The following is a 10,068-nucleotide window of genomic DNA, read 5'->3' as shown; positions in this document are numbered from 1 at the left end:
TGAAATAAAATTGAAGGTTTAAATATGTTTGGTCAGTTTTCTCCTCCTATAAAATATGTGATATCAACAGATTCAACACTTTTAGCTTCAGGGAATGCTTGACTCTCCAAAAGGCATATAATTGAGTGTACCTGCGGTACAAGACTATGTCTAATCAGTCGACTCTGTTGCTGGGTAGAGTCAAGTGCCATTCATCTGCCTCCCCTGAGATTTGTGGAAACAAGAAGGAGGAGCAGGATTAAGACAAAGATATATAACCATGTTGACCACTGAAGTTCATGGTTAACAACTTAATTATCTAAGTTCAGCTATCACTCAGAAGCAAATCTGTGCAATTTAGGCACATTTTATAATCTACAATAGAAATAGCATAATGCTAAGGACAGTGCTGCTAGAATTAGAATCTACATTAAGTGTGTTTAATTTAATTTTTCTAATTATATTTCTAATAGCTTAAATATCTGCACTGATAAAACGGTTAACCACCTGCATTTAAATGCCACCTGATGCGTTTATTTTGGAATAGTAACAGATTGGTATAATTTGAGCTCAAGTTCCTCTAAAAATTTTTCTATTAATGGGTCCTAATTTAATCTTTGTGCCTGATCTCAAAATGATGTTATAAGGCAACAATCATTGTGAGACTTGCCATTATCTGGTATTATCCTGTTGTGATTTTTTTCCCAGTTCAAACTTGGATTCATAGATAGTTAAATCAAAAATAGAAATTTGCACTGGCATTTCCATTTTCCTATGGAGCTTCAACGTTGGAATAATGCCTGGCTAAAAAAAATCAATTCAGTGAAATGTTTGCATAGCACTATGTGAGGAAGGTTAGGAGAATATGCACTACATCTACTGTTCCAGGTGGGCAAACATATGCAAAATGCCCTTATGATCATATATTTTCTATATGGCCCATGTATTTTGGGCTGATAATACTACAATGAAACTTAATTTATCCCCACACAGTAAGAAGTCTAACCTTTTGAAAATCTGATGAATGATATAGATCCTCTCCTCCTTTCCCAAAAAGAAAGAAAGAAAGAAAAAAGAACAGAGAAGGTATCAGCATTTTATCAGAACATCAAATGAGAGTATTCTATTTCCTTCTGTTTAGAAATAACCTAGTCCTAGCGAAGCTAATTGTAGTGAAAAGATCAAATAAGCACTGCTGTTCATTCATAGACACACAATTGTATTTGAAAACGTAAAGTCTTAAGACACTGGAAGGAAAAGCTTCTGAAACTCTGATTCTAATGATACCACTTTTTCACTGAGCCGACGCATAGTCCATGCTCAATATGCTATTATTCAAGGAAGCGTGAGATAATGCGACCATGGGGAATAATACGGTAGTCCCACAGAAGTTCCATCGCTAACTAGAAGTATGGTTTCAATTAGCAATGGCAATAATAATACTTATGATTGTTGTAATATCTATTATCATCGTTTTAGTTGAACATGATACAGAAGAGAGTTGAAGGAATCATGAGTTTAAGTGTTAGCTCTAAGAAATGTTTGTGTGACCTTGATTTAGTCATTGAACCAGTACATGGCATAGTTTCAGCATCTGTAAAATGTGGAGGTTAAACCTAATGATCCTTAAACATAAAATTTCTGTATTGAATGCAATATTGTAAAGGGTACAAAACAGGAGTTTTGAAGTCCACAAGAACCTAGGTTAATATCTGGCCTTTACTACTTATTATCTATGGGACTTTGTTCCAGAACAATCATTTCTATCTTCATTTTTCTTTTGAGTACATTTTAGATAATTAAACTGTTAAGATGGAAGTCAAGATTAAAGGGTAATAGTCCTTGGTGCATTGTAGGTGTATAAATGTTGGCTTGTTTCATTATGACTACTTCTTTACCTGACTATGAGTGGCAAAAAAGACAGAAACCATGTCAGTAACAAGAGATGGTGTGATTAGAAAACTATGTATGGGTTCATGGTAGCTATGCCTTGCAGAACTATCACAGCAGCCTTTGTCTCATAGGTAGCAGAGAAAACAGACTATGCAGTTCTGAAACTTAAATACTAAATTTGGAAGGTTGTCCTATGTATCGAATAGACTTGTGAGTCCATGAAGATATTGCAGGAGACTAATAAAATAGCTCTACTCTGGGAAATTAATAGATTCTGTTCTGCTTGTTCTGTCCACACTATACTCTAAAAAATACTGCATGATAAGGTTGCTGATTGTGTAAAGGGCTCTTGTAGTAGCACTCTGGAACTGTGAAGTGGGGCAAACAATGTATCTTAATTTATAACCACTCAGCAAATGTAAAATGGTAGGAGATTCACTTTTTCTGGGTAGTTCTGAGCTTTTTCTTCTCTTTTGCAGAGAGAATTCAGCTCACTATGATTTCTGCAATATACAATTATGGGAAATCATGTTTGGATTGACACTGCAGACAGAAATGGCATGCATGATTCCTGTTTGGACAGGAATAGCTGTTGGGGAGGAAGCCAACCTTGAATGACACTGAAGAGCAACATAATGAAGCATGAATTGACAGGTGACAGGACAGATCTAAAACATTGAAGGTCTATATAATAAAATGAGTGAAATAGGTTGACTCGATCAAGTGATATTATGGGAAATTATGTCATTACTGTATTATTTGTTTCTGTGATAAATGAAGAACTCTATTTCCTTGAGTCTGCTTTAAGACTTTTTTCTATTCCTAATTTCTTCTAAATCTACTTTGGAAAAAAAAGAGATTCATCTGTAAAGTATTATTATATTTGTCTCCTGGTTCAAATTGTATATGTCATTTTGTGCAACCCAAGATGAATATTGTGGTAGTGATGGTCTTATTTTCTTTTCCTGGTTTGAAAGAAAAACAATTCCAGGTAATGGTCAGTTTTGAGACCACCAGAAAGAGCCAGAACATGTCAAAAATATGTTTGCAAAAATTACTTAACGATCTCTTCACTGATAAATGGATAAGGTAAAATAAATATGTGAATTAGATTTAGGCCATTCTTAACATTGAGGAGAAATGACTCTTCTTTACTCTTTCCAGTATTTTCAATTTCTTGGTAAGGGCTTACCAAGACTTGTGTGTGTCCTGAATCATATAAGGGATACTAACTCTTCTGAGAAGATACATTACTTTTTAATTTCCTCAATGCCTTGCTATCACTGACTAGGTAGATAACGGCAGAAGTGAGGTAGGCAGATCTCAGAGGGATTTTTACTGATCCCAAAGAACTACCTCAGTACTGGAATAAGAGCTGTGCTGCCAATCACACTGGCTAGCAGCCGGGAATAATGCCTGACAACAATTGTGCATATGTCAGGGATCAGCTAATAGGTCTTCCTGTTGAAGTTTCAAGATTGACTGATAGAAACAACTTTGCAGATAGTTTGTCTATATGAAAAGTGACTTAATCGCTGTATTTAATTGTGTGAAAATATAAGTGATCATTTAAATCACACTGATATTTTAGCATACTTTAGAAGCACTGCAAAGTTGAATGCTTCTCCCCTTGGGGAAAGCACAAGAAATAAAATAATGAAATCCAGTTAAAATGTAAAAGTGTTGAATTTACTAAGCCCCCCAAATCTATACTTCATTCCTTATTCATTGTTGTCAGATGATAAAAATCTGAATCTTTATTGACTCCTCCCTCTGGTAGAAGCCATTCCCTAGCTGGGTCACCCAAGCTATCACTTCTACTTCACAAGTATCTCTCAGACCTGGCTGCTGCCTTCTACTCCCACTCCTACTGTCTTAGTTCAGAATCATAGCAACCTTCCCCAGCAATAGCCATGTCATACTGCTCTCATTTCCTTCTGAAAGGCATCCTTCACGTTGCTTCTGGCTTCCCGTGTAAAAAGCCATATCTGAGCGCAGCTCTTATGGGGCCAGATCCAGGGGAGGAGAAAGGAAGTGAGGCCCAGAAAAAATACATTGTCATGGAGGAGTGAAACTGAAGACAAAACAAAAAGGTAAAAAGATGAAAGCGCCCAGTAAGTTATCTGTCAATAAAGAGTTTATATTGCCTTTTACTTTCCATACTAAAAATGTGCAAAAATAACCCCACTGATTGTGTGTGATTACCACACAGGACTTTCCACAACTAGGCCCCTGGCTTACACTGCAATGGAAGAAGAGGAGCAGAAATACTGCCAAAGATCCTTATGGTAAATTTGATACAACTCCTCAGAGTAATATTGTCTATGCTTCCTTTTGGGTCTTTTTGAACCACAACACCTCTTGCAATTATAGCTTAGAAAGTGTGCGTGTACATCAATTGTTTTTATAAAAATGCACTTTTTTTAAGCATTGAGAGGCGATTGCTTTTTAAAAATTATAATTTTTATAAAACAAGGAAGTTTTTCAAATAAATACTTATGTTCTGTTTGTGCAGAGGGTCAGCATATATAATGGCAACTTTGTAAAGAGAAATTGAGTTAAAAGTTTATCTATTCCTAGTACTTAACTGGCTACAAGGCCTCAGTTTCTGGTCTGATGTGTGTCTAGGCAATTGTTTTACTTACATCTCCAGACTCATTTAATGTTAACCATTCTGGTTACACTGAATTTGTTGCTGTTTCGGGATCAAGTCATGCTGCTGTCCTACATTCAGCCTTCAGAAATGTTTCCTTTGTCTGCAACATTCTCTCATAATCCATGTTTTGCCAGCTGTTTCTCACCCTCACACACATGCACATATGAATACCAAATTTCTCACCATCCTTCAGGCCTTAGCTTAAATGAAACCTCCTACAGGAAGTGTTATTTAACTCAATTGAAGTTTGGTCTTCCTCCATGACCCTATATTTCTCCCATCATAATGCATTTTATTAAATTCTGTAATTGTCTTCCCAGAAAGACCATCAGCTCTATGAGAACAAAGCTCTTGTCACTCTTGCTTACCACTCTATCTTTAGCAGCTACTAGCCAGGTCTCAGGAAATATAGGAGGCACTCAGTGAATACTTATGAAATGACACCCACAAATGCAATTTGTTGTTTATCAGACGGGTATATAAAAATCTCACCAGTTCTGTTGTATAACAATTGAGACTAGCACATAGTAGACATTCATAAATATCTGTTCAAAGAATGAATGAAGGAGTGAATGAATAATGTGGTAAAAAAGAATGCCAAAGTCCCTTTGCCTAAAACATTTCTTCATAGAACTGGAACTCCTGAATAATATTGCTCATTTCATAGCTCTTAATTCCCCATCACAGCAGCCAGGTCCTGGGAGAATGGAATATAAAAAGATAGGAAGCCACATAGGTCCTTGGGAAACTGGAAAAAAACAAACAAACAATGAAGACCCCAAGATATTAGAGTGGCAGAAAAAGGGGAGAGAAAAAAGCTGTAACCACCTGCCTGTGTTAATTATTTTGCCCCCAGTTGTGGCCAGTGAGAGATTTTTTCCCCTTCACTTCTCAGGGAAACACTTTGGAAGGCTTGTTCTGCAGCAAGGACCTCAGAAACAAAGGAGACATATGCAAGTTCACGAAAATGAAATCAGTGTTTAATTACTAAATATTCTACCTCTAAAATTAAAGGAAAAAAGCTTAAATAATTCAGTTTGATTTGGTCTCATTAGTCTGATTTCCTAGTATTTAGCCTTAATTATGTGATACATAAGCCCTAATTATGTGGTACATATACAGTGCGCTCTCTAAAGTTAAAGATCAGAACGGATACTGACTTAAATGATAAAATATGTTAAATTATTAATGATAATTAATCTTACAAAATAGGCATAATTAGTTTAAGTACTTTAGATATTATTCTTAATAGCATTACAAATAATATGACACAGTTTGATCATTTTAAAAATAATTGATTGGGAAAAAAGTCTACACAGCACTGTTTTTTACTCAGGAGAGCTAACCAATTGCTTGGTGCTGTCAAAATATATCTAGCTGTCCTTGTTGAAAAGGTGAGTTTGCTTTAACCCAATAAATGCTGTGTCCTAAACAAAATGGGGATATTGCTTTTAAAGAACACTTTTTCATGGACATGATCATCTTTATAACAGCAGTACCTATGCCTTTCAGGGTTTAAAAATATTCTTTGGTTTAATTTACTCTGGGTATTGTCCCATGAACTGTTCGGCACTGTTCAGTTTGTTTTTGTATTTAGTTTTGTATTTAGTGTTTGTATTTGTATTTAGTATTGCTATTTTTTTTTTTATTTTCTACTGAGGTCAATTTAAAAGTTAGTAATTCAATTTTGATACCACAAGCCAAAGTGTTTGTTTTTAATTCTTTTTCCTAACTTTGGATAAATCTGCTATTGTCAGTTAGTATCTAACATAGGCTTAAATTCTGAAAAGTTCTGTAGGAATATAAAATAAATAGTTTGCTTTTAAAGCAACATTTTAAAATGGATGTTCTTCTATTGAATGGGACCATTGTGGAATCAGATAACTGTTCATCTCTTCTATCTGGAGTTTAGGGATGAAGAATAAGATGATAAACTACACATCAGAAATCATATTACTGGCTCTCCAAGTTTTACTAGTGTTCCCAGCCCAGGTTTAAAAATATTCTGACTGAATACAACTGAGAAAAGCTTACAATCAAACTGCAGAACATTTTTTTCACACTGTGATTCAAGAGAATCACTGGAAAAGTGATTTTGTCAAATAAAATCCTAATGCACTGGAAAAAGTCTGTAGTCCCAGCTACTAGGGAGACTGAGGCAGGATGACTGCTTAAGCCCAGGTGTTTGAGGCCAGCCTGGGCAACATAGTAAGAGAACCCATCTCAGAAAAAAAAAAAAAAATCCTGATGTGATAAGATTAGTGCATTAGATATAAATCAGTCTTGAACCTTGATGTTATAAGATTCCACAATAGTTAAAAAGTAGGTGAAAAATGATAAGGATTATCTAACTCTAAAGTCACACAGGAATAGTTTCTAATATTAGGGATTTGTTCTAATGACATCCTTCCACAATGTTCAAATCAAAACTGTATTCTTTTCAGACATTACATTCATCATTTAATATATTCTTCCAAGCCATCATCACCAACAGTTTAAGCACATATCTCCCCAATATTCAGGCTCCCAAATTTGATGTAAGGCAGCATTGATGTGATACTAATTCACATGACTCTGCCACATAAACACTTGTTAAGGACAGAGATTAAAGACTGGCCCCAGCAAGAGAAGGCTGATTAAAGTGGGGACCTTCAGGGAAAGGAAATGTCTGCATTGTCACAAAGTTTTGCTGAGAGAACTTTGAGCAGTAAAGGGTTGCAATAAAGGTTTTGATACTTAAAAAAAAAACAACAGTAGAACATTTTCTTTGGATGAGATCTTGTATAGAACCTCAGCATGTAAAACAGATAAAACTGACATTTTGAAAGTCAATGAAAATAATGCAGGTATTTAGCCAAAAAATGTAAAATTTGATATTATGAATGACAATACAAAACAACCTTAGCATTCAGATGATTTCTCTATTTTGTGTTGCACCATTTTAAGAAAATCTGCCCAGATATGTAGTATGAACAATTTCATTTTTATTTTTCAACAGATGGCATTGCATTTTAGACTGCTTTTCAACTGATTATGACAGTATCAACAAAAGAAACTTTCATTTGAGGTATGCAAAGAAGCAATATTAATCCAATAGCATGTTAAACTATTGGTTCATGTGTTTTCACTTAATTATATTTTGTTGTGATCTATATGTTTATATAATATGAGTGATTTTATACAAAATATTCTTATTAAACTCCTTATTGCTTATTTCATATTGCTTAAGATATTACACATTATATTATACAATGTAGTCTTTATGAGGTCTCTGAGAAATTCCAGTTTGAACTTGTGGTAAAATAGAGTGGTGGTTTTCAGCCTAAAAAAAAAAAATTGGTAAACATGGTGAACTGTGTAGTTGCCAAGTCTTACCTATTCATTTTGGGTGCAAAAGTACTTAGAGCCACCAACTATGGCCAAGTACTAGAGAGCTGTATCTTTACATCATGAATTTTAGCCTCACTGCCAGTCTACTTTTTCCTTACTTGCCTCTTTTGTGTATTTTTCTGAACTTTAAAATATGATATTGCTGTATAATACCATATATTATCTTAGGTATTATCATATTATCTGAAAAAAATCTAAGATTAGGGCAACATAAATGATGGATAATGTAAAATAATCTTTTGACAGTTTCTTCCACTGATTTTCCCACTCTTGAAAAATGAGGCTATGTATAATTTGACCTTGTATAATTGGATCTAGGGCAGTGTCTGCCATTTAGAGGGTATTAAAACAATGATACTAATGAAAATGAATTAATGAAAATACTAATAATTTTATACTATAATTCTATACCTCTTTGCTACTGTGAATAGTGCTGCAATGAGCAAACATGTGCATGTGTGTTTATAATAGAATTATTTATATTCCTTTGGGTATGTACCCAGTAATGGGATTGCTCATGAAATCAACCCAAATGCCTATCAATGATAGACTGGATAAAAAAGATGTGGTACATATACACCATGGAATACTATCCAGCCATATAAAATAACAAGATAATGTCCTTTGCAGGGACATGGATGGAGCTGGAGGCCATTATCCTTAGCAAGGTAACACAAGAACAGAAAACGAAATACTGCATGTTCTCACTTATAAATGGGAACTAAATGATGAGAATATATGGACACATAGAGGGGAACAACACACACTGAAGCCTTTTAGAGGGTGAATGGTGGGAAGAGGGAGAGGATCAGAAAAAATAACCAATGGGTACTAGGCTTAAAACTGGGTGATGGAGGCAGGGCGTGGTGGCTCACGCCTGTAATCCCAACACTTTGGGAGGCTGAGGCGGGCAGATCACCAGGTCAGGAGATGGAGATCATCCTGGTGAACACGGTGAAACCCCATCTCTACTAAAAATACAAAAAAATTAGCTGGGCGTGGCGGCCGGCGCCTGTAATCCCAGCTACTCGGAAGGCTGAGGCAGGAGAATGGCGAGAACCCGGGAGGCGGAGCTTGCAGTGAGCTGAGATCGCGCCACTGCACTCCAGACTGGGCGATAGAGCAAGACTCCCTATCAAAAACAAAACAAAACAAAACAAAACAAAACAAAACAAAACTGGATGATGAAATAATCTGCACAGCAAACTCCCACAACACACGTTTACCTATATAACAACTTGCAGTTGTACCCCTGAACTTAAAAGAATAATCGGCCAGGCGCAGTGGGTCACGCCTGTAATCCCAGCACTTTGGGAGGCTGATGTGGGTGGATCACCTGAAGTAAGGAGTTCGAGACCAGCCTGGCCAACATGACGAAACCCCGTCTCTACTAAAAATAACAAAAATTATCTGGGCATGTTGGCACACGTGCCTGTAATCCCAGCTACTGGGGGACTGAGGCAGGAGGATCACTTGAACCTGGGAGGAGGAGGTTGCAGCGAGCCGAGATCGCACCACTGCACTCCAGCCGGTGCAACAGAGTGAGACTTCATCTCAAATAAATAAATAAATAAAAGATTAATAAACAAAAACAAAAAAACACAAAAAATTCTATACCTCAATTTATAAAATTCTATAACTGTCTATTAACTACTAATAAAAATGTGTGATAAAGGCTATTAATGATGGGGTTTCCTTTTTTACTCTATAAGCATATTTACCATCTCAATAAGTTACAAATATCTAAACATACCCTATGCCATTTTATAATAATACTATGACATGTAATGATTCTTGCCCTGTTCTTTGTGTTGGAATGTTTTTGTCGGTTTTAAATGAAGTATCACTTCCTTTTTGAAGGTTTTTGTAACTCTGTTGAAAGAATTAGTCACTCTTCCCTTGAATTTTTAATGTAACTGGCTCAAAACTTTACGTATTTATCAAACTGTATTTTAATTATCCCCTAATATGTTTATCTTGCAAGTCTGTGATCTCCTTAAGGATAAATGACCAGACTTCCTCATCTTCCTGCCTGACATGTCATGAATGTTTAATAATTTGTACTAAGCATTTAATATTAAGCAAATTAAAAAATGGCTGACAATTCAATAGTATTTAATATCTTGAATTTCAAAAATATTTCATATAAT

The 10,068-nt window shown here is 35.5% G+C and overlaps 1 long non-coding RNA gene across 1 annotated transcript; it reads left to right on the top strand.

Moving 5' to 3' along the window:
- Positions 1–1,652: 1,652 nt before the first annotated feature.
- On the top strand, positions 1,653–9,095 carry LOC107985828 (uncharacterized). Its single transcript, XR_001739221.2, has 5 exons — positions 1,653–2,526; positions 3,817–3,965; positions 4,085–4,160; positions 7,527–7,595; positions 8,549–9,095. It is a non-coding gene; the product is annotated as an uncharacterized LOC107985828 (long non-coding RNA).
- The last annotated feature ends 973 nt before the right edge of the window (positions 9,096–10,068 follow it).

This window comes from Homo sapiens, chromosome 2, assembly GCF_000001405.40.
Source record: "Homo sapiens chromosome 2, GRCh38.p14 Primary Assembly".
NCBI lineage: Eukaryota > Metazoa > Chordata > Mammalia > Primates > Hominidae > Homo > Homo sapiens.
Note: the sequence above shows the minus strand (reverse complement) of the source record. Positions and strands in the feature narration are given on the sequence as shown.